Raw genomic sequence first — 25,992 nt, forward strand, 5'->3', positions numbered from 1 at the left:
GGGAAGTCAGGCAATTGAACAAGACAGGTATATAATTATAGTTGCTACTCAGTGCAATGAGAGCTGTAACAGAAGAGTGTTTAAGCAGGGAAAAGGTAACGAGGCAGCACAGAGATGGAACAATAGGCTCTGCTCTGGGTGGACTGAGGAAGGCTCCTAAGAGGACATGGTTGGTTTTCCATAAGGACAAGGAAGGGAAGAGAATTTCAGCACATCATGTGCAAAGGGGTAAGGTAGTTTGGCAACTTCAGGAAAATGATAGAATATGCTGTGTGTGTTGTGGGCTGTGCAGGAGTAGGTGACACAGGAGGCTGCACTGGAGGAGTGCGCAGGGCACAGCCCATAGAGCTGCCTGGTGGGGCTGCCAGGGAGTTTGGACCTAAGCCTGTAGGCAACAGGGAACCTTATTCCCAGGGGAAGGGAGGTGAGATGTGTGTCTTGCCTCAGCATGTACATCAGTTTCCTAGGGCTGCCAAGACAAAGTACCCCAAGCCAGGTGGCTTAAAACCATAGAAATTTATTCTCTCCCAGCTCTGGAGGTCAGACATCTGAAATCAAGGTGTGTGCAGGGTTGGTTCCTTTTTGGAGGCTTTGAGGGAAAATCTGTTTCTTACCTCCCTGCTAGCTTCTGGTTTCTGACAGCAATGTTTAACATTCCTGAGCCCAGGGGAGAATACCTCATGGAAAGGGAAGCGTGCTGACAATATGATCTGGGCAAGCCAAGGATATGAGGACATAGAAGGGGTAAACAAGCCAAGAAAGCCTGTCTGTTGGTCTCTGTGATTGTTCATTTTATGGGTAAACCTCACTGGGTCACAGTGTCCCCAGATATCTGGTCAAAAATGATTCTGGGTGTGACTATGAGGGTGTTTCTGGATGAGATGAGCATTTGAATTAGTGGACTGAGTAGAGCAGATTGCCCTCCCCAATGTAGGCATCCTCATCCAATCAACTGAAGGCCTGAATAGAACAAAAACACCGACCTACTTGTGAGTAAGAGGGACCTCCTCCTGCCTGACTGCTTGAGCTGAGATGTCAGCCTTTTCCCGCCTTTGGACTCAAACTGAAGCATTGGCTCTTCCTGGTTGTTGAGCCCGGGTTTTCAGACTGGAACTTACACCATTGGCTCTTCTGACACTCCAGCTTGCCAGCTACAGATATTGGGATTTCTCAACCTCCATAACCACATGAGTAATTTCCTTATAATAAATATCTTAACACACACACATACACACACACACACCCTGTTAGTTCTGTTTCTCTAGAGAATCCTGACTAATACAGTTTTACAGAGAGAGAATAGAGAGGAAACACAGGACTTTTAAGACACAGTTGAATCCCATGAACCTCCTTGAGATTCCTTACTTTTGGGGGCAGGGAAGATTCCAGATGAGAAAGCATTTGCATCCCCACTCCATTCTCTCTGTCCAACTATCAGGCTGGACTTACTTATCCATTCCCCTATCAACCCCCTCCTTCCCCACTGCTGTCTTGCTGTGAGGATGCTGTGAGCGGATGCCGGCTCCACCAGAATCCTCAGTGGGCAGAGACAAAAGAATGTGTCCCCCCCACATCCCAAGCCACTGTCATCACCACTCTCCAAACGCTGGCCAATGGGCCATAAAGCAGCTACCGGCCCTCAGGATGAATCAAAAGGAAGGCTACTCCCTCCCTCGTGCCTGGGCGTTTGTCCTACCCCAAGTGGAGATGGCAGAATGGTTAAACCCAGCAGATTTCCTAAGACAGCAGTGCTTTAAGGTGACTTTCATGTGCCCTTTCCTTTACATTTTAATGGCACTCTAATGTTGAATTAAAATGGAATTCCTATGGAAATGTACAATGTCTAAATCAATACTTGCTGATTAGTGTCACGAGGATGAATATCAAAAGATGTAATAGCAATGACGAGGCCCAAACCGGGGTGAATAAAGCCACCTGTGTCCATTAACTCAAGCCTGACTAATGCTAAATTACGATAAAATATCTAGGAAATTCTGGCCAGAGCCACTTTAAAGCCCACAAAATGTAGCCTAATTAGCACTATGATGACAAATGCAGGAGGAATTCATTATGCCCAAAGACTCCTTGTAAAGTCCAATTTTACAAACTCTTCCTTTTTTTGCCAACACGATGCCTAGAAGGCTACGGGTGGCTTAAATACCACTAGGCAACTGCTTTTCCAGGTGCTGAGCTAAGTCAGGCTCCACGTGGGCATCAGAGAGTGAGTAACAGAGGGAGGAGGGGGTTTGTAACTCCCCTTCTCTCTTAGTCATGGCAATCAATCTGTCTGTGCATCTCTGAATCTATGTGTCTATATATGTATTATAGTTTAATTGTTATGAGTGCAGGCTCTCATGCCAGACATTCAGGCCTGCACTCTGCCTTTTTCTACTCAGGTAACCTTAGTAAGGTTACCCTGTACCTCAGTTTCCCCAAATGAAAAGGAGGATAACAATAATACCCTCTCATAGGGTAGGTATGAATATCAAATAAGTTATTACATTCAAAGGGTCTTCAGCAGTGCCTACACCAAGCAGCACATGGCAAGTGTCAGCTATTTTATGTTCTATTTTTAAATCTGCTTTTTAAAAAATTTACTACAGAAGCCGTAGGCTAAAAAAGAAGGCATTTAGACAACTCTGCCCTGCCAACACTTCCCTGCTCAGAATCACACAAAACCACAGGATGTTATAGAAGAAAGAAACCTTTTAATGGAGAACATGTAATTCAGCCCTTCTCATTTACAGATGAAGAATCGGAGGCCCGGGTAGGGGAGGAGACTGTCTAAGGGTCACTCAGATAGTTCTGTTCCATTTAAACATCTATCAAGTGCCTCCTGTGCCTAGACCATATGCTCATTACTAGACTACAATGATGAATTAGTCCCTGTTCTTAAGCAGCCTATCATATTGTGAGAGAGACAAACACATCCACGAAACAGGTAGATATAAGGTGGCAGGGAAAGTAAGTGAGAGAGAGAGGCAGATATTAACACTGAGAGACTGTGAGGGCAGAGGAGACCACTGAGTCCAACCTGCAGATTTGGAGGAAATGTCTCAGAGAAGATGAAGCTTGAATTTTCTTCTGGAGGAGAATGAGTTAGCCAGGCAGTCAAAGGGAAAAAGATCTCATTCGGTGCAAAAGCACAGGTGTGCAAGACAAAGGTGAGTATGGGGGAATCACCAGCAGTCTGACAACATGGGAACACATAGCACAAGAATGGGGAGTGTCAGGAGATGAGATTAGATAAGCCTTTTATGCCTTGGCAAAGAGATTGGAGTTATTTTTATAGATAACAGAGAGTCATTGAAGGTTAAGCAGGGGAGTAACATGTTTACATTTAATTGGAACATTCTGCTTTCATTTGGGGAGTGGATTTTGAAGGACTAATATGGAAAGAAGGATTTCAAAAGGTAGCTGATGTCAATGAGCTGTGTAAGACCTCATGAGGATCTGAATGAGGGCAGCTGAAGCAGAAGTGGAGAGAAGAGGGACAGATTTGAAAGCCCTTTAAGAGGCAAAGTAAGCTGGACTTGATTAGATGTGGAGGATGGGGAAGAAAAAGGAGTATAGGATGATTTCGAGTTTCTCACATGGGTGACAAGATGGATGGTAGAATTATGGGTTGAGAAAGTGGGATGATAGAGGAACAAGAAACAGGATGAGAAAGTCAGGGAGAAAGGATAGTTCTGCTATGACCAGAGGCAGCTGGAGGGCAAGAGTGCTCTCCGAAAAGAGATTAGGGCTGGAGAGAATGATCTCAACATGCATGGAGTCCTTAATACAGGGAGTTAGTAAGACCTTTCAAAAAACATTTACCGGCTGGGCACGGTGGCTCACACCTGTAATCCCAGCACTTTGGGAGGCGGAGACGGGTGGATCACGAGGTCAGATCGAGACCATCCTGGCTAACACGGTGAAACCCCATCTCTACTAAAAATACAAAAAATTAGCCAGATGCGGTGGCGGGCACCTGAAGTCCCAGCCACTTGGGAGGCTGAGGCAGGAGAATGGCATGAACCCAGGAGTTGGAGCTTGCAGTGAGCCAAGATCGTGCCACTGCACTCCAGCCTGGGCGACAGAGCGAGACTCCATCTCAAAAAAAAAAAAAAAAAAAAAAAAAAAAATTTACCGAAAGAATAATAATGGATGAAGTCCTTATTTTTGAGGAGAGCATATTTAAGGGGGAGGTTGAGGTGTCTTCTATGAACAAAGAGAGATCACTGGAGAGGTACAAGCCAAACCAAAAGAGAAGTCCCACAGACAGCAAGTGAGTAGATATCCTTGATCACAATGTTAAATGCAGAAACGATTTCTGAGAACAAAGGGCTGACAAACATAACGGGTGTGGCAGAATGAGCCTGGCCCCATATTGACCTTGACGAGGGCCACCTAAATGGACCAGTGAGGAAGATCAGACTGAAAGTGGGTTGAGGAGTCATTAGGTTGTGAAGTGGTGGAGACAATGAGTGTAGGCATCTATTCCAGAAACAAGATTTTTTTCAGGAAGATGAGAGACTGGTTGTTGGTTGGAAGAGGACTTAGAGTCAACAGAGGGATTTTATGAAGAGGGGAGAGACTTAGGCATGTTTGTTAGCAGAGGGCAAAGAGCCAGGAGAGAATAAAAGGTTGTAGACACAGTAAAGAAGGAGGCAGTTGTTGAAATAAATTTCTACGGGAGCAGGGAAGGATGGCATCAAGAGCCACAAGCACTAGGGAACTGGGAACCAAAAAGGGACACCTCGTCTACCGACCCCAAAGGTGAGAAGCTGAACATAAAGAAAGAGTTGATAAATTTGAAGGAGTGTGGTAGTGGAGGGGGTAGGAAGTTGAAGATTTTATTCTCAAGGGCTTCATTTTTTAAGAAAGTAGAATCAAGTTTGCGGTGCTGCAAGTGTGGAGTGGGGTCTAGTAATGGACTTAAGGAGAGAAGTCACTGGGTATAAAGGGATCATCAAGAAATGCAGAGAGCCCAGCTGAGGTTAGTGGCCAAGCTGGGATTCAAGCCCAGTTCTACAGATTCTCAGAGGATGACAGCTCTGTTGCAGCATTAATCTTCAGGGTTGGTGATATTTTCATACCATTGGTTTCTAGTTCCTCTATTTCTCATCAAATTCCAAAAGAAGTCATTCTGTGTCTGCACAGCTTAGGAAAAATTCCCAGAATTGTTGCTGCCTGGCTCCTTGTTTGAACTTTAGTTTATGTCAAGTAAGGCTATTTTCAACCCTGTGTAAAATGTAGATATTAAGTCTGAGAAACAGAAGCCCTCCATCGCCTCTGTGTCCCAAGACAAAATAAGCAGGCCACTCAATGTATCTGCTGCCCTGAAACCTACAACAACTCAAACTTCTTCACATCTCCCCTTTTCCCCCACTCTTGCCATGGAATAGATCCCACCACAGAAAATCAGAGCCTGTATTAGGTCTCGGCAATCTGGGAGACCAGTGCACGTCAGGGCACAATGCCTGACAGTTGATTTATTAGAGGCAACCACAGAGGTTAAAGGCAACCCAAAATTCATCTGTAAGCAGAGAGCCACAATCAGTGACTTTTCTCAAAGCCAAGAGACAGCTGGTGGTCTGCTTTCTTCCCTGTGGGCTGAGATCCTGGGGACTGCAACAGTTTCCACAGCACACTGCAAGCAGAAGCAGGCAGGACACAGATGATGGTGCCCAAGTTAGGGAGTAATTTCTGGGATTGAGCGGGATGTGGTGGAAGAATAAGAGTGAGTCCCCGAGAATTACTGTGACTTAGCATTTTCCTGATGGAGAGTAGAGAGGGAGAGAAGGGTCCTAAGCCCTGGAGGTCTACAGTGGTAGCTCCCATGCCTGTCTGAGTCTACTCTAGGCTATAGGTCTTTGGTTGTACTTGTCTACTGAGTTTTGGTTGTTGCATTAGTAGGATCAGGGTGTCCCTTCATGTCACTGTTTCTGATATTTATGCCATTGTTTTAGCAGTGGAATATCCTATACCTTGCTTTGAAGTTGCAAGTTTCAAGCACTTCTTTAAAATATTCAGGGAGAAAAGGAAATGCGTAAAACATTTTTTTAAAAAGGCATATTGGGGTCAGGTGCAGTGGCTCACACCTGTAATCTCAGCATTTTGGAAGGCTGAGGTGGAAGGATTACTTGAGGTCAATCTGGGCAGCATAACAAGACCCCTTCTCTACAAAAACATCAGCTGGGTTCCGTGTTGTGTGCCTGTGGTCCCAGCTGCTTGGGAGGCTGAGACAAGAAGATTGCTTGAGCCCAGGAGTTCAAGGTTACAGTGAGCTATGATGGTGCCACTGCACTCCAGCCTGATGACAGAGTGAGACCCTGTCTCTAAAACTTTTTTTTTAAATAAATAAAGAAAGAAAAGGAATATTGTGGGAATGGGAAGTATTTCAAGGTTTTTTTTTTCTTTTTTATGTAACAAACTGTCCCAAAATATATTGGCTTAATATAACAACCATTTAATTTGCTCATGATTTTGCAGATCTGCAGTTGGGACAAGGCTCAGCCAGAATGTCCTAACTCTGTCCAGTGTGGTGTGGACTGGGTGTCACTGGGATTAGAGGATCCAAGATGTCCTTAGTCACATATGTGAGCACATGATGCTGGCAGTCTGCCAGGACATCTTTATGCTCTTCCACTCAGTCTCTCTTCCCAGTAGATTAGGCTGGACTTCCTCACTTGGCGGTCGAGGTTCCAAAAGTACAAAAGTGAAAGCTGTCAGACCTCATAAGCTCTAGGTATAGAAGTCACATGGCACAATTTCCACCATATTCTATCAGTCAAAACAACAACTAGACTGGCCCAGATTCAAGGGGGAGAGGAAAGAGACCTCACCTACTGATGGGACTTCTGGCAGGTCCAAATGTGGATGAGACTCCTATAGAGATCTGTGAACTAAAAGGACAAATTGCCTGCCCACCACACACAACATGCAAGGGTATGACACGAACACTCCCTTCAAGGGGATGTTGAGAAGCACAAAGCATTCGCTGATTCAGAGCAATCCTGAAATCCAGGCCTATACTGTCAGCTCCCTTGACTCCAGGATCAATCAACATTCCTTAATTAGAGTCCATTTCTGCTCTCTGGAAATGGTTCCCCAATTTATTGTTTTCCTCAGGTCTTAGATTTGCTCTCTGGACTTTGCTCTTTGAAATACTTTTCATTTTCTATAAGAAATGGACTGTGTCCTCAGCGGAGCAGCTTTCTTAGCCTGCTTTCTTCCCAAAGAAAGCTGGAGGCCCAGAGACCTCTTTATTTTTGATGGCCTCTGTCCTAAAATACAAACTGGTGGGGCTTTCTTGAATACACTTCTCTTAAAAACTTCATAGATTTTTCCGTGAATCTTACGGAGATTATTTTGTGCCACTGTGGTACATCGTCTCCCATGGCCACAATATTCCTTCCAATCTCACATGCACTTTTGAAATGTGACTTTGCCAGTATTTCCATCATGATTTGAGGTGTGTTACCCCTGTCACTAGATCCAAGCTGAACCAGTGACTTGCTGTGATTAACAGCATGCAACTGAAGTGATTGTGTATCACTTCAAGACCAAGGAAGGCCTTAAGAAACTTGGAAGCTTCTACTTTTGTACTCTTAGAGCCGTGCAATGCCACAGAAGTCAGACTATCCTGTTAGAGATAGAGACCAAGTGGAAGAGCACGAAGCACCCCAGGCTCCCAGCAGCAATGTGGTTCCAGACATGAGTGAATCCAGTGATATCATGTGTCCCTCTGAGCCCTGCCAGAATTTCTCATCTAGAGAACTGGGAATAGCAAAACGATTGTTGACTTAAGCCACTAAGTTCTGGAATGGTGTGATGTACAATGGTAGATAACCAGACGAAGAGGGCTGGTTGGCTTCTAAGAGCTTTCACAGGTATGTTGTCATCTTGTTAAACTCATTCAATTGTAAAGACTCAAAACTTTAGTCTTCATTGAGATCCCAGCATAGGTCAGAGTAGGTGATAATGACTTATGTTAACCAAACTCACAGAAAATGATAGATAAATTACAATATCAATTCACTCTTATACCAAGAAAAATGTTGCTGTTAGGTGGACAAGATGTGTGTTCCCATCTTCTGGCCAGTGAAGCATCTCATAGTGGAAAAGCTATATGGGGCAACAGTGGATAATTAGAGGGTTATTTGGTGAAAAAAATCAAGAATGAGGGGCGTCAGGAACATAGAATGCCCAAATGCATGCAGCTATGGCCATGCCTTCCAGAAGGGTTTAACTTTCTTACTGTTTGAAGGGACAAAAAGGCACGCTGGCATATACTTGGATGGGCACTTCACAAGTTGTCCCCTCTGCCCTCCCTCTCTTTATTTTTAGACAGGTTTAGATATTTAGTTAAAGTTAAGATTTGTAAGTTCTAAAGTCTTTCTTTTTAATTTGATATTTCTCTATTCTAGGGCTTCTCAACCGAGGACAATTTTCCCCCCAGAGGAATGTTGGCAGGGTCTAGAGACATTTTTTGTTGTCACAGTTTGGGGGGAATTGTTGATGGGAGTGCTGCTTTCTGCTAGTGAGTACAGGCCAGGGATGCTACTAACAATTCTGCAATACACAGGACAGACCCGCAACAAAAAATTACCCAGCCTAAAATGTCAATAGCACTGAGCATGAGAAATCTGCTCAATTCTGATTCATTTTCTGCTGGTTAGTGATTGAACTCTTAGAGTACAATCTTATTTTTAACTTCTTCAAGTGATAAAAGCTATCATTGCCTCCCTTTTACTGCTACTTATAAGAAACATTTTGCTCAAGCAAAATTTGAGTAGGCATGTAACAAACAAATGAAGTAAATTAGTAATTAAAAATCTTCCCACAAAGACAAATCTAGGCCCAGATAGCTTCACTGGTGAATTCTCTCTAACATTTAAAGAAGCATTGCTAGTCCTTTGCAAAGTTGTTTAGGAAGTAAAGGAGGGAACACTTCCCAACTCATTCTATGAGACCAGTATTACCTTAATACCAAAGCCAAACAAAGACATCACAAGAAAAAGAAAGTATAGACAAATAGCCTTCATGAACACAGACATAGTAATTACTAACACAATATTATCAAATTAAATCCAGCAACATATAAAATGAATTATACACCAAGATGAAGTATCCCAGATTTATCAAAAATTTATCCCAGGAAAGCAAAATTAATTTCAGATCTGAAAATCAACCTAAAACAGGAAGGACAAATATCACATGATCATCTCAGTAGATATGGAAAAAGCATTAGACAAAATATAATATCCAATTGAGATTAAAAATTATCAGCAAATTAAGAATAAACAAGAAAAAAACAAACAAACCCATTAAAAACAAAACAATCCCATTAAAAAGTGGGCAAAGAACATAAACAAACACTTCTCAAAAGAAGACATTCACGCAGCCAACAAAGATGAAAAAAACCTCCACATCACTGATCATTAGGGGAATGCAAATCAAAACCACAATGAGATACCATCTCCCACCAGTGAGAATGGTAATTATTAAAAAGTCGAGCAACGACAGATGCTGTGAGGTTGTGGAGAAATAAGAATGCTTTTACACTGTTGGTGGGAATATAAATTAGTTCAACCATTGTGGAAGATGGTGTGGCAATTCCTCAAAAATCTAGAACCAGAAATACCATTTGGCCCAGCAATCCCTTTACTGGGTATACACTCGAAGGAATATAAATCATTCTATTACAAAGATACACACATGCACACGTATGTTTATTGCAGCACTATTCACAATAGCAAAGACATGGAATCAACCCAAATGCCCATCAATAACAGACTGGATAAAGAAAATGTGGTACATATACACCATGGAATACTATGCAGCCATAAAAAAGAATGAGATCATGTTCTTTGCAGGGACATGGATGGAGCTGGAAGCCGTCATCCCCAGCAAACTAATGCAGGAACAGAAAACAAGACACTGCCTGTTCTCACTTATAAGTGGGAGCTGAACAATGAGAACACATGGATACGGGAAGGGGAACAACACACACTGGGGCCTGTCGGGGAGTGGGCTGGGGGAAGGAGAGCATTAGGAAAAATAACTGATGCATGCGGGGCTTAATACCTACGTGACAGGTTGATAGGTGCAGCAAACCACCATGGCACATGTTTAAGTATGTAACAAACCTGCACACTCTGCACATGTGCCCCAGAACTTAAAATAAAAATAAAAATTAAAAAAAAAAAACTAATGGCAAAAACCGCAATTATTTTTGCACCAACCTAATAGAATCTCAAAAAGCTAACAATAGAAAAATTGTTCCTATTTGGGTCAGGAATAGATGTGGAGCGAGAGGGTCTTAATGAGTCTGATGACTTAAGGCTAAGTCATGGCTAATCACTGAGTGAGTATATAAACATTGGGAAATTATTTGAATTTTTCTGGATTTAGTTTCTTCATCTGTAAAATGAGAATACTATTTTCTTTCTGGGGTTTCCATGGCTCAGATGAGATAATACATGAAAATTCCTTGTAAGTTGCAAAATGCCATTAAAATACATGGGGCTATTTTACTATTGTGAAGGTCCTATTTGTGCACTGGACCATCCGGCATGTGTAGGGTTTGTTTTGAATCATTGCACTTGACACTGAGCCTACAGAGCCCAGGAAAGCAGTGTAGTTCTTTCAATCATCCCCTACCCATGGGCTCCTGGGTCGGCCCCACTGGAAAAGCAGAACTTTCCCCGTCCTCATTAACTCACTGTCTGGCGAGTTCATACCTCTAAGCCACACCTTAGAGGAGGCTAGGGTGTTCTAATTAAGGGTTCTGGTGGAAAAGGGAGGCTTTACGCTGTCTCTTGCTACTCTCTCTGGGCCACAAGCTGCAGCTTGGAACAAGCATAAACAAGTAAACTACTGCCCCTCCCCAAGATCTCCAGGAGATAAATTGAAATGTGAGTAATGAAAGGCCCACTGTTTTTCCTTTTGTAACCAAGGGAACTTTGGTTTGTGTACTAGGTTGAGAGAAACCCAATCTTAGCCCTCTAGAGTCACATAATGTGAAAGTACTAGTTTGTTATTATAGGACCCTATAAGATAGGACATTTCCGAGCACCCATTCAACTTTCACAATTTGACTTCTAATGAATTGCATTCTGCTGGCAATTCTAGGAAACCACTTAAGCTCCAGGAGACCCAAAATAGAGCACAATGCACCTTCCTGTGCTCTCCACCCCCATCTCCAACCAGGCTCACAACAGGGAGCCCTCCAGAGCCACACCTAATTGGCTGCAGAGAGAAGGGAAGGGAAAGGTCTTCACCATCCCAGCCACAGGTGGACCTGTTATAGGACAGCCTCCTCTGGCTCTAATACAGCACTTACCACAAAGCACAAGGAGGCCCTACAAACAGCCGGCTCTGAGAGGCAAAGCGTGTATGACACCAGGTGCCCAAAGTTACTGCTTGAGGCAGAGGGAGAGTGAGATGTGAATGAGGTCAGGAGCCAGGAGCAATGACAACAGAACTCATCGCATCTGGGCCCCCAGGACCAGACCCATGGACAAATCTGCCATCAAAGTGAACCAAAGAGAATGCGCCACCCAAGGCGAGGCTCTGCAGTGGGATGTGCTCAGGGCAGGTGGGTTCTCTGAACAACTATGATGCTGGCTGAGAACAGACTCCCCCATGGACACCTGCAGCTGGCCTGAGGATGGATCCTCTGAGTGGAACTGGGCAGGGACCTCTCTCACTTATCTTCATATGCTCAGAGTCCAGTTGTCGGGTGAAACAGTGTTTGTGCTTAGTGAATGTTGAATGGATAAATGAGAGGGAATTAGGAAACTTGGGCTCTGCTTCCTGGATATCCTTTTCCTCTTCAGAATGGGTTCTTTCTTTCATTCTCTCCCAGCTCATAACACAGCACAGTGGTAAACACATAGAAGGCACTCAAAGGATATTTTACCTCAATCTAGCGGACCCTATGCCAGTGTTGGAGAAAAATTCCTCCAAGGAAGAATTATTTTCCTGTCTTCCCACAGTACTTTTAAATAGCTATATTCTATCCTGTCTTCCCACAGTACTTTTATATAGCTATATTCTAGGAGGACATTGAGCATACTGGATTATACTTTTTTTTTTTTTTTTGAGGCAGAGTTTCTCTTCTGCCGCCCAGGGTAGAGTCCAGTGGTACAATCTTGGCTCATTGCAACCTCCGCCTCCCAGGTTCAAGAAATTCTCTCACCTCAGCCTCTTAAGTAGCTGGAATTTCAGGCGCATGCCACCATACCGGGCTAATATTTGTATTTTCAGTAAACCCGGGGTTTCACCATGTTTGGATTATACTTCTTAAAAAATGTGCTTGTTGTCCCTGTTATAGATGGACTGTGCAACAGTGAAAGCCATGCCTTACTTATTATCTTGGTGCTCCAGAACCTAATACAACTCTGCCTCTCACATGGTTAATAGGGAGTAAATGCATGCGAGGACATAGTCCAGATGGCAATCAAGGAAGACCCCGCCCTCTTGCTTATGGCACTGCTTTGCCCAGGTGTGGCACTGGAGCACAGAGACAGGTCTATGGGCTCTGGAGGCTCCTGAACCCCAAAGCTCTCTCCCCCTGCAAGCTCCATCTTTGAGGACCTACATTGCTTCTCTCATTTCCACCCACAGGGTAATCATCAAGAATCAAATGGCTTGGATCTGGTCTCTTCTCTTTGAGGAAGCAAGCAGGTATGTGCTTTTAGAGAACTGGAAGTTTTCAATAATTCCTCAGTGAACACAAAATCACAAACTATAACTCTTAGAGCTAGAGAGCATCCAAAATGGTCTTCGGGTCCAGAGCCCTGCCTTTGGGAAGATGAGCAATTCTTACAACCATTGCCATGCTATGAAATCCACAAACTCACACCATCTTCCACAGGCATCATGTGCACACACATACATCCTGAGTAAGTATATGCGTGCACATGTGTGTATATGTGTATATGAACAGAGGCACTTAAGAAGATATGTATTCAGGCTATAGCTTCCCAACAAATATAAACAGAGTATCGTACACATTGCTGGAGAGTCTAATCAGATAACTAAACCAGACTATTGAAATGACCCTGCCACGGCTTTAAGAATTAAATAGGTGTAGACATAGGACAGTTGGCCTTCATTTCATGACAGAAAGAAGCTAACCAGAGAAATGGATTTGCTAATGACAACAAAATGCAGTGTAACACTGTACTGAATGTTTCTCAGATCTTGCTGCTTCTTTCAAAATGGAAAGAGGCCACCTTCTCTTGAGAAACAGCTAAAAGGAGAGAGAAAGTAGAAATAGGCAGGCCTGAGTTCCAGGAAAACACACTTAATCATCAGGTGACCTTAGGCACATCACTTCCTCTCTCTGGGCCTCAGTAAAAAGGGCATAGAACCGAATGAAAGCAAAGGTCTTCCTCTCCTCTTACATTTCATCCTCCTCCTTGTGGATTTTTTTCACCTCCTTGAAGACCCCGGAACTTTGGGAGTGCCATCCAAGATACAATGTGCGTTTCGCCATAGCTTCTCCTTCAAATGGTTGGTCCTTGGATTTACTAACTTCCTCAGCTTTCCCATTCCCAATCATTATGTAAAATCCTTCTTCTTTTTTTTTAGAGATGGAGTCTCGCTCTGTCGCCCAGGCTGGAGTGCAGTGGTGTGATCTTGGCTCACTGCAAGCTCCGCCTCCCAGGTTCATGCCGTTCTCCTGCTTCAGCCTCCCAAGTAGCTGAGACTACAGGCACCCGCCACCACACCTGGCTAATTTTTTTTTTTTTTTTTTTTTTTTTTGTATTTTTAGTAGAGACGGGCTTTCACCATGTTAGCCAGGATGGTCTTGATCTCCTGACCTCATGATCCACCCGCTTCGGCCTCCCAAAGTGCTGGGATTACAGGTGTGAGCCACTGCATCTGACCATTTCTTGGTTCTTGAACCCACAGGCATGGAGGTGAGTCAGGCCATTGGAAGATTTCCTGTGGCTGATGAAGAATCCAACTCCAGGTTGCTCTTCTTTGAAGAGGATTCCAGAAATGCTTAGGTACATAGACCCAGGAGACTAAGGCATATCAACGGATTGTATTATTTTAATTAATAACAAATGTATCTTACTATTTTGAGTAAATTGACTAAATATTTTATGTTTGTCAATCAAATGACAGAAATATGCAATTCAATAATGGGATATTTTAGCTGGCAGGGACCTTAGAGATTTCTTAATACAACCTCTTGTTTTACAAAGAAGAAAAATTGAACTCAAAGAAAGAGAAGTGACTTGCCCAAGGCTAAATAAATTAATGGTATAGACTGAGTCAGGACCCAGTGTCCAGTGCCATATCCAATAAATCACAACAGGAGCCCATCAGTGTGACTGAGAAGTTGAGTGGTAGGTGTCTGCTCTCTTTTCTAAATGTCCCTGGTGATCCATTTTTCCCAAACAGCCATAGAGCTGAATAGGGAGTTTGAAAAAAGGAGCAAAGAGTATCCTTGGCCTCTTGGTGCTCATTAATCTTCTTTATGCTCTAGATGACAGAAAGCTATTGACTATTGTGTTGCAGACCAGAGACCTAGATGCAGAAAGACAGAAGGGCATAGGCAAGGTCAGGGCAGCAATACCTTCCCATGACTGTCACTTATTTACAAACTCATCCATATCCTTCTAACCGCCCTGAGGAATGAGTGGTATGACTCTGAGGCTGTTCATGGGGAAATTGAGGTTTGGAGGGTTTAGGCAATGTAAACAATTGGCCCCAGCGGGATATGGAAGCAGAGTCCAGTTCTACATGAGAGAAAAGAAACGTACCTACAGGAACAGACACACACGGTGAGCCCACCTATGGGCTAGGTCAACCACAGGGCCTGGTATAAACTAGGAACCCAGTAGTTGAGGAACAAATTGAACAAGCAGAGGGGCTGCTGTGTTTGGCAGCCTTCTATGTGGGGCATGCCATGTACATCTGTCTGGAGCATGGATTAATCAGGCCTTAAGACACATAGTTGGCAACCAGCGAGTACTGTTTTACAGTACATGCTGACTGCTGCTGGAGTGTGTTCTCGGCACTGCAAATCTTGGAGCTTCTCAGATATTTCTTTTGTCTTTTTAAAAATTCATTGTGACACATGCCCACATGTTTTCTATGCTCAGTCTGAACCCATGCCATTTGTAAACCATCAGCTCACACACATACCCTGAGTTCCTGGGAGATGTGGTGCCTAACTCCATGGCAATCACAGCCCATGGAGATAGGCCAGAGATGGTGGGCTTTGCATTAAGAAAGCTCAGTAATGCAACAATGGTGCCTAACTCCATGGCAATCACAGCCCACGGAGATAGGCCAGAGATGGTCGGCTTTGCATTAAGAAAACTCAGTAATGCAACAATGGTGCCTAACTCCATGGCAATCACAGCCCACAGAGATAGGCCAGAGATGGTGGGCTTTGCCTTAAGAAAACTCGGTAATGCAACAACAACAACCCAATGTACAAACCCAGAAAATTTGGAGGTATTTTTTATTCTGTGAAAAAATTAACTGCAATTTTTTCCCTGACATTAATATATGTCATGCGAGCTTCCACTTCCAAAAAACACTTAATATTTTGGTGATGCAGATGCTCCTGTATACTAACATAGAAAACATGTGACTCTCTGATCTGAGAATCAGGGGACAGGTTTGGGAACTTCATTAGTTCAAGGCAATCATAATAAAACCATGTAATATGCTTAAAGTGCAATAGTATTTAGAAGCACTTTTAGGTATTCCCTATATAAGAATAATAGCTGATATTTTTTGAGAACCTACTAAGTTTCACTCTATGTTACACATTTGTATTTATTTCTCTTAATTCTCACAACCACCATATGAGGTATATACTATTATAATCTCTGGGTTGAAATGTGGAAAGTGAGACACAGAGGTTTTAAGTAATTTATACATAATCACACAGGTAGAAAATGAAAAGTCAGAATTCAAACCCATGGACCCAGGGCATGAAGCACAGCTCCGACCACCCCGAGAATGTGTTGGATTAACCCTATTCAACAGAGGAGGAAAACAAACCCAAGAAAGTAAGCAACTTTGTCAAGGCCACCTGACTAACTAGTGCTAAGCCTGGAACCCAAGTCTGTGACCTCAAAGCCAGGCTTCTTTCCATGAGGCGGCCCTTCCAGGAGCCCCCTGGGAGGGTGGCAGGGGTAAGCCCCTACTCTTTGTGCAGAGGGGTTTTAACTCTGCCTGCAGCAAGGGAGTCTCCACTGTCCCGGCAGTGGCAGGCACTTGGCCTCAGGCCCTCTGTTTGAGATAGATGAGGAAGAAACAAAAAGCAACAATGGAGAAAACCGTGCTGCCTTTTGTCTCCAGCAGGCAGCTGGCAAAGCGCTGACCTTTAAGACTTCAAAAGAGGCATTCGCCCAGTCACACATAGACTCCGCCTTTAGGAGCCTGGAAAAAGTTTACTGCTGCTCTTTGCCACTGCCTGGGTCCTGAGGTGAGAAAGAGCCATGGCACCCTTTACTTAATCCCGTTATGTGCCACATGCTTCGCTAATCTCCTTAGGGCTTTGCACCCTCGTAATACTCCTTTGAAGCAGGTAGAACTGATATCACCTCCTTGTTGCAGAAGAAGAGATGGAGGGTCTGAGGGGGAAGCGACTTGCCCAGGGTCATCGAGCTGCACTGTGTGGTTTCTCAAAACTCAAGTGCAAACTGGAACTCCGGTTCTGCTCCCCTAATACGTTCATTCACAGCCTTCCGTCTCTCAGGGGTGGCCGTTCTATCCTTGCAACTGCTCAGCATAAAAACCTTGGGGTCACCTTGACCTCATTCTTTCTCTCCCATTCCACGTCCACTCTTACAGGAAATGTCATTGACTCTACCTTCAAAATACACCCATTCTGATATACCTCTCTGCTCACACTGCCACCTCCCTGGTCAAAGTTCCCATTACCCCGGGCCTGGAGTACTGAAAAAGTTCTAACTGGCCTCCCTGCTTTCACCTATTTCCAGTGCAGCCTCCAAAGCAATCTGTTCAGACAGAAGTTAGGTCAGGAGGCCCCCACAACGATTCCTTATCTTCCTGGCAGGAAAGCCAAAGTCCTGACAATGGTCCACCCAACCCAAAGGACTAAGCCTCTCCCAAGACCTCTGACCTCCATTCATCTCCCTTGTTCCCTCCTGTCCGCTCTATTCCACCACACCAACCTTCTTACCAGACCTTGGCACCAGCTGTCCTCTCTGCATGCAACAATCTCACCCCAGACACCTGCTGGGTTCACGCCCCCACTTCTTTCAAGTGTTTACTCAAATGTCACCTTCTTTGTAAGGCCTAACCTAGCCACTTCCACTGAAAATTACAATCCTCTTCTCTGAAAGGCCCCAAGATCTCCCACACCATTTAACTCTCAGCATCATGTAACTTACTGTTGCCTTACTTATATTCAGACACTAAATACTCCACCAAAGACTTACCCAATAGAACATAATTCCCACAGGGAGGGGTGTTTATCTGTTTGATTCATTGTGGTACTCCTGATATCTACAACAATTCCTGGTACCTCAAAAGTACTCACAGAATAAGTAGAGTGAATGAATGAATGTAAGTCAAATGAATGAATGAGTGAAGAAGGCCCTATTTCCACCCCAGGGAGAGGAGAAGCTGAAGGCGAAGCACTACCAATATGTAGGGAGGTGGCCTTAGACACAGTCCCCAGCATTGACCGCTCGGGCCCTGCTCCAGCCTGTGGCACAGACCCACCCTGGCTTCTCGCCAACTTCCAGGTCTGGGAGGCCTAAGGCCAAGGAGAATATGAGGTTCTGCGGGTGACACAGGTTCTTGAACATGTGAAGGCAGCAAGGTGAGCTCACACAGGTGCCAGCCAAGGCCAGGTCCTGCCCCGGCTGTGGATCCCAAAGTCCTCCCATTGTCACCTGGCAGCAAGTCAGAGGAACCGACATACAGGACCTCGCGGCACTTGCTCTAGGAAAGGGATGCTATCCCGGGGACCAGAGCTTTCCTTAAGTCTCCTATGTAATGCCCTAGAGGGTGGGAGCCAGGCCAGGCTGCCTGCCTTCGCACATGCTAAGCACTGCCCAAGTGCCAATCAGTATCTCAAAAACAATTCTGAAAAGTATTCCACGATTGATTTTACTACCTTTATTGATACACGCAAAGCAGGGATATTTACATTCCATCAAAAGTTTGCTGAGGGTCCCAAATTTTACTCTGTAGTATAACTTCTGTAAAGCTGTGGGGACTCCCTCTTTTACAAGTGGCTCCCAGAACTTCAGGAATGGCTTGGACAGTAGCTGTTCCTTTACTCCAAGCCATTCGGACATAACTGAGACTGTTGGCAATCTCACTAGAGGCATCAAAATCCCTGCCAAGAGCTCCTTTCCCAAACCCCTTCTGCATAGCTGTAAATTGACATGAAGAGTAATGTTTATTTCAGAGACTATCCAGTTTCAACCACTATTCACCTGAGAAGATAGGAAACAAACACGATCCCCATGGTGGACTGTGGCAAGTAGTATGCACCTTACCGATATGTTCTGGAGGTCCCGCTAAGGGAGACAGCTATGGAAAAACAGAAAAAGCCCTGGACCTGGAGCCAGGAGACAGGCATTTGGGTCCAGGTTGGGCCTCTTACTTGCTGTGTGTCCCCTTAGGCAACTTACTTCTTCTCTCTGAGCCTTAGTTTACTGGTCTAGAAAGGGAGATTTGTAATATATACCCTTTTCAGCTGCCTTGTTAGATTGCTCAGAAGTTCCCTGTAAATTACAAAGTTCTGTTACAACATGAGGGTTTTTAAATGTTTTTAATAAAAATAGACCCAGTTCCATAAGGTGTTGGGAGGATGACATGTGTTGCTACAGAGGGGAAGGGAGGAGAAGTGAGCAGTGCCAGCGTTCACCAAGTCCTGGCACTAGACACTACTTGAAGGTACTTGCATTTGGGGCACCTCCCTCCCTCGGGCCCTGGCACTGCCCTGGGGTATTATGTGGCCAGTGGAGATTAGTCATGGTCTCCAGTTCCTTCTATCATTAAGGCCGCTAAAAGATTCACACCTCTTAACAATTCAGCTGAAATCTCCCAGGCACAGCCTAAGGCAGGGCTTGGCTTTGTTTTGGTGGCATCTCTCATTTATTTATCAGCTTCCCTAGGGAAGGAGCACTGATGTTGTTTGGCACTGATGAGGAGAACAATGCAGCACATATTTATAGCTCTGCTCTCCCACCTGCAGGGGCTGCTTGTTTGGACTGTAGGAGCTTAGCTGAGCACCAAGCACCAGCAGGAATCAGAGAATGGTGGCTTCCATCCTCTGCGCACAGCAGCAAGGAAGGTACGTTCACCTTCAACTTAATTCCAAGGGTGCGTCATAAGCTATGGGCTGAGCCTGGCCCCTGTGGGGATGAAGGGCTGCCCCAGGAAGGTGGAAGAGGGTCAAGCCCTGCCCTGCCCTCAAAAAAACCTGTAACTAAGTGCAAATGGGCTCTGCTCATCCAAATTCTGGCTTTGTCCTGTATCAGTTACATGAACTTCCGCCAGACTCTGAAACTCAATTGCTCATCTGAAAAACTACAGTAACACTAGTAAAGCCCACCATACAGGGCTTTGTGAGTTTTAAATATAACTATGTGGAAGCACCTGGCACACAATGAGTAGAGACAAGGTTAATGTTTGTTGTTGAATCTTGTTAGAGTGAAAAGACAGCCACACATTAAACAATTAAAGAACAATACCAGGCGGTCTACCTGCGATAAGGTGCTGAATTAAATATCACCAGGTGCCAACCTGTGTGGCACTGACAGCCGCCCTCAGCCCCCAGCCGAGCTAGAGGGCACTGACAATAGGGTGTCTGTCTGATTTCAGGGGAGGAGGAGGGCCCGCCACCCACTGTGGAGCCGTTCTGTCTGGGCAGTGGAAAACTCCATCTTTCCACGAGCCTGCCCTTGTCTACACCCTCTCAGCTGAGTCTGGGGTTGGACTTGTTTTTTGCAATTCACTTCAAGTTTAAGTGCTTAGGATATAGACTTGTAGTAAGTTTACAAGAATGCAAAATAGGTAAGGCACAAGCCCGCCCTCAAATAGCTCGTAGAGCAATAGGAAGGCTGTGTGTGTGTGTGTGTGTACATGTGTGCAGCAGGTGTTTGTGGATATAAACACTATATGTGTATGTGTATTTTATATGTAGAGAGAAAGAGACAGAGAATATAATAAGTCCTGTTTAATGGTTATAAACAAAACGTTATGAAGTGTTTTAAAGCAACAAGAAGTTGGAAATCCAGGAGGTCTGCATGGTGGAGAGGGCATTTACACATGGTCTTGGGGGAGCTCTGGCTTGCATGTAGGACAAATATGGGCTCACCCACTGCCTAAAAGATGCAGCCTTTCCTGTAGCATGCCCCAACACAAAATGGAAATGCCTATTCTAAAAAAGAGATAAAGCATTATGTCTTGTGACAGAAATCAACTCTTGAAGTTCAGTTTCAGGCACAGGAAGAGAAAAAAAGGAAACATGAAACAAGCAAACAAGAAGAGAGTGACTTTGGAGGGTGGTTCAACAAGAAATCAAGGCAAGGAGCTGCATGGCTCCCCCAGGGGAAGGGCAGGTAGAGCAGGAAGGGATGGGAAGCGAGGGACATGCCCAGGCAGGGGACGGCCCAGTGGAATTGAAGCCTAAGATGGGGACCCATGCATGGAGAATCTTGTGTTGTTGGGGGAGTCTTTGGGCTTAATTTTGTCTCTGACCATGGAAGCGAGGATCAGAAAAGTGCTTGGAGAAGACTTTTTTCCCAGCATGAAGGAAGCAATAGAGTGAAGAGATATGGAAGAGAAAAACCCTGCGGTTGCTCTGGAGTCAAGGCAAGAGGTGATGGCCGCTGGAATAGAAAAGAGACAATGAGATGTCATCTGCAGCTAGACTTGACCTGGCTTGGCAAGGGTTTGGATGTGTAGTGAGGGGAGGGCCAGCCTCCTCCTGTGCACTGGGATCACAGCCCCACCAGCCCCCTCCCTCCTCACCCTGCCAAATTCCCTGGAGAACGGGTGGCACCTGCCACCTCCGCTTCCTCCCGCCCACTCTCTCCCTCACATCCGGCAGTGCCCCACCCCACTCCTCTGCCCAGAAAGGGCTCTCTTGAAGGTCACCAAGGCCCTCCATGGCCAAGTCCAGCAACCTTTTTCCAGCCCCATTTTCTACACAGAATTTGATACTGTTGACCTTTTACTCTTTGCCATTCATCCCTCTTGGCTTCTACAGCAAGACACTCTCCTAGTTCTTGCCTACTTTCTCGCCCTTTCTCCCCCGCATTCTCTGTGTCCGTATTTTCTTCCTTTTGCTCCCCCAGCAGAGCAATTTTCCAGAGAATCTGTTTTTTCATTTCTCTGTACTCTCTTGCATAGTAACACCTCCTGTCTCTCACCAGTGTCAACTACTGCATTTCCCTAGTTGGTGTGAAATCCACATTCCCAGTACAGGAGCCTCACTTTTCAGTCCTGTGGGACTTTGCCATTGTATATCCTGGATGACTTCAAACTCAATATGACTTTCCTTCCAGGTCACTTCCTCTCCTTTCCCTGCTTTTGTTGCTAGACCGCCATTCCCCTAGGCACCTATGCTCAACATTCCAGAGACATTTTAAGTGCTTCTCTTCTCTCACTGTTCCTATCCACCGTCCTCTTTAGTCTTTCTACCCCTGGATCTGACATCCATGGTTTCTATCCTTGCCCCAGCTCCAGCCCTACCTAGATCATGGTCAGGGCATAGCAATTGCCTCTGGGGACTCTCTATCCAGTCTTTCATCATGAGCCATCCTGCATATGACCACCAAATCAATCTTCCTAAATATCGCTTGTGTTATACAAACTCTTTTCAGCATGTATTAAGTCCCTGTCACTAAAATGATTTCTTGGAAAATAAAAATTAAGACGTACACGTACTAGTTGAACAGACACACTTGAAAACCAATTATGATCAAAAAGTAATGTGAGACAATGATACAAATGTAAACACCCAGCTGTTAAGAGCATAAAGGAAGGAATTAGTAACTACCCAGGTCACGTGGGGGAAGTTTCAGAAGAGCTGATTTTTAAACTGGTTCTTTAAGGAGATACATAGGGGCTTAAAAAATAAAGAAAGAGGAAGAAAGTTGCACTCAACAGAAAGGGAATAGCAAGGACAGACAAAGGGGCATGAGGGTGCATGGCTTCCAAGAGGAATGGCAGCTGATGAGGTGTCCAAGGCATACTGTCCATGGCTGGGGAGATGCTGGTGAGGTAGACCGTGGCCTTATATGTCACATTGAGGAATAATGGCTTTTTCTTATATGCAATGGAGAGTTCAAGAGGCTTACCAGCAGAGAATGCTACGGTAGTTTAGCCATGGATGAAAAGAAGACCAGGAGTAGATCATGGTCCAGTCTGAAAAGCAGCAAGAGGCAGATGAAGGTGAACACCAAATCCTATTATGGAGTAAGTGGACCAAGTGTCAAAGTGAGGTTGGTGAACAGGTCACACCTGAAGGTGCCAGGGACCCTACAGCAGATGCCTGAGATCAAGTCTAGAGAAAAGGTAAAGTCAGGATCCAAAGGCAGCAAGAACGGTTATGGCGATGAGGAAGTACTCATGACATGCAGGAGAGGGGGCTAACTTAACTCCAGCGACACTGTTCTCTCAGCAGCAGGCCTGCGTCTAAGGGGCTGGTGCTTCCATTATGCAGATGTGATATTCCAGAGTGAGTCACAGTATGGGCCGGGATGCATCAGATTGCTCTTCAGCCCATTACTGTGGCAACAGGGTGGAGACCACACTAAAAGAGAAAGCAGGGAGCCAGGGAAGTCAGGAGGCTTGTCCCATAGTCTTGGTTGGGGATAATGGGGCCACAAGGACAGAGATGATGGGATGGAATTGAATAGTCTTCAGGAGTCCACAAGACTTAGTGACCTCCAGCACTTGGAGCCAGAAAGAGAAATAATCCAGCGCAATCATTTTATCACTTTGATTATGTCACTTATTTGCTCAAGGTACTCTTAAAAGTACCCATTTTCTAGAAATATTCCCAAAATGTGGGGCACAGAAGATTTTAAATAACATACAGACGTAGCACTGAATTAACCTTGACTCTCATTGTCAGCAAACTGCCTATTGGATTCTCTTTTGATATTTCTGATATAATCACCAAGAGAAACTATAAAATCCTGGTATGTTCATGGCTCCTCTTTAACTCTTTTTTTTTTCCTTGAGGTTTTATTTTATTTTATGTTATTTTATACTTTAAGTTCTAGGGTACATGTGCACAACGTGCAGGTTTGTTGCATATGTATACATGTGCCGTGTTGGTGTGTGGCACTCGTTAACTCGTCATTTGCATTAGGTATATCTCCTAATGCTATCCCTCCTCCCTCTCCCCACCCCACAACAGGCCCCGGTGTGTGATGTTCCCCACCCTGTGTCCAAGTGTTCTCATTGTTCAGTTCCCACCTGTGAGTGAGAACATGCGGTGTTTGGTTTTCTGTCCTTGCGATAGTTTGCTGAGAATGATGGTTTCCAGCTTCATCCATGTACCTACAAAGGACATGAACTCATCCTTTTTATGGCTGCATAGTATTCCATGGTGTATATGTGCCACCATGGAACATATATGATCCAGTCTATCATTGATGGACATTTGGGTTGGTTCCAAGTCTTTGCTATTGTGAATAGTGCCACAATAAACATACGTGTGCATGTGTCTTTAGAGCAGCATGATTTATAATCCTTTGAGTATATGCCCAGTAATGGGATGGCTGAGTCAAATGGTATTTCTAGTTCTAGATCCTTGAGGAATCACAACACTGTCTTCCACAATGGTTGAACTAGTTTACACTCCCACCAACAGTGTAAAAGCATTCCTATTTCTCCACATCCTCTCCGGCACCTGTTGTTTCCTAACTTTTTAATGATCGCCATTCTAACTGGTGTGAGATGGCATCTCACTGTGGTTTTGATTTGCATTTCTCTGATGGCCAGTGATGATGAGCATTTTTTCATGGGACTGTTGGCTGCATAAATGTCTCCTCTTTAACTCTTGTCAACATCCTTTCCAACAATAGGAGAGCAGGCCCATAGCTTCCTACAAGCCATGGAATCTACCCACAACTTCAACTCATTGTTCATCGCCTAAACATTTTTCTTTCTTTTTTAAGATTACATTTCTAAAATTTCTTATAAGTGTTTTGGATTTGTTCTTTTTACTTGTTAGAGACGTTTTAGAGGCATTCCCTTTACAGACAAGAAGATGATAAAGACGTGTTTATTATTGCAATTGTTCATTCAGCAGAGTACTAGCAGTCCTGATCAATGGATGAGTGACAAGAAAAGGAAATGAGACATAAGAATCGGAAGGAAAGAGAAAAATCATAATAGATAAAATGATAATTCACATAGCCCAACAAAATCAACAAACTACTATAACAGCAATAACCAACCAGAAAATGTCTTAGAAAATAGCATTTTCAAGATAATAAACTCACAATCTGAAAATGCAAATATCATTGAAAATAGGAATTAATAATTTTAAATCAACTAAAAATTAATTTTAAAAATACACATGACCTATGTGGAGAGAAATGACAAAATAACTGATCAGATATAAGAGAATACCTAGAGAACTGCACTGCATTCATGAATGAGAAAACACGTAATAATTCCAATTCTTCCCACAGTAATATATAAAGTTTAGACCATTTTAATGTAAATCCTGGCTGAATCAGATAAAGTAACACTAAAATTTATGTAGAACAATAAAGGTCTTTGAAAAGATCATGTATTTTGAAAAAGAAGAACAAAAATAGGATGCTCTTTTTAGCTATCAGATAGTACAACATGTTACAAAGACCAATTAAAACCAGCACAACACTAGTATAAGATCACAGATATATCCATTAAACAGAACAGAGGATTCAGAAGCACAGCTCATATATATAAAGGAGCCTGGTTTATCATGGAAGAGAGCTCACAAATCAATAGCAAAGCAAAACTATGAAACTATTAGAAGAAAATTGGGAAACTATCTCTGTGTTCTTGTATTGGATAAAAGCTTTTTAAGCAAAATGCAAAAGAATATAGCATAAAGGAGAAAAACCCTTTTGGATCTGACCACACGAAAATGAAATATTTTGTTGTGCAAAGCCCTCTACACTAATTTAACCGTTACCAGGCAAGGAAGTGTATTGCAAAACACATAACTGATTGTAATCTAGAATATAAGGAAAGGTATTCAAGAAACAGATAGAAAACCGAAGTGAAAAATAAGTCAAGAAAATATATGGGCGATTTATAGAGGGTAAAAGCTGACAAAATAACACAACTTTATTACTAATTAGGAAAACATGAAATCAAACAATAATTTGAGATATCTGTTTACATCTTCAAAATTGGCAAAAATAAGAAAATAAATCAAGTATTGAGATAATAGCAAGTACTAAAAAAATAGAAGCTCTCACACCTCTGCAGGTAGGAGGGTAAGCCAGTGCAGCTATTTTTGATACAAAATGTACAGTATTTGGTCAAGTTTCCAGGTACTCAATGCCCAGTAATTTTACTCTGGATATAAACCCCACAGAGACTCTCAAACAGACATACAAAAAGACACGCACCCAAAACTTTAATAGTAAAGAGTTGGAAATAACCTATATATTCCCCTAAAAAGGAACATTAAAGTCTTTGCTCAGATGCCTTTCTCAGTGTCTCCTATCCTGATCACTTTCACAGCAGTTGTAGTTTGACTCTCACCCCAGTACTCCCAATTTCCCATCCCTGCTCTGTTTTTCTCCATAGCATTTTCCACCATCTAACTCAACATATACGGTGTCTTATGTGTGTATTTTGTCTGTGATCTGTTTCTTCTCTATAGATTTGTAGCCACATAAAGGCAGGGTTTTAAGTTCTTTCTTCACAGCTGTACTCCTAGGATTTCCAAAATTAACCCACAGCGCTGATGTGGAATTCTAAAGGCCTTTTTTAGAATTTCTCCAAAAAGAGTCCATGAAG

At 43.8% G+C, this 25,992-nt stretch overlaps 1 long non-coding RNA gene across 2 annotated transcripts in view, besides 1 other annotated feature; it reads left to right on the forward strand.

Moving 5' to 3' along the window:
- The window catches only part of LOC105369617 (uncharacterized), a 257,798-nt gene that overhangs the window by 135,640 nt on the left and 96,166 nt on the right, over nt 1-25,992 (forward strand). For both annotated transcript variants that reach the window (NR_188065.1, NR_188066.1), the window contains exons 5-7: nt 12,619-12,678; nt 13,912-14,009; nt 19,205-19,303. This is a non-coding gene — a long non-coding RNA (uncharacterized LOC105369617). The remainder of the gene's footprint in view (nt 1-12,618; nt 12,679-13,911; nt 14,010-19,204; nt 19,304-25,992) is intronic.
- Nucleotides 10,653-11,310: an enhancer, noted in NCBI's record as "NANOG-H3K4me1 hESC enhancer chr12:5377405-5378062 (GRCh37/hg19 assembly coordinates)". NCBI's record gives its function as "activates a minimal SCP1, AML or CMV promoter by ChIP-STARR-seq in naive H9 embryonic stem cells {active_cell/tissue: H9 hESC(naive)}" and the evidence as "EXISTENCE:reporter gene assay evidence [ECO:0000049][PMID:30033119]".

This window comes from Homo sapiens, chromosome 12 (genome assembly GCF_000001405.40).
Source record: "Homo sapiens chromosome 12, GRCh38.p14 Primary Assembly".
NCBI lineage: Eukaryota > Metazoa > Chordata > Mammalia > Primates > Hominidae > Homo > Homo sapiens.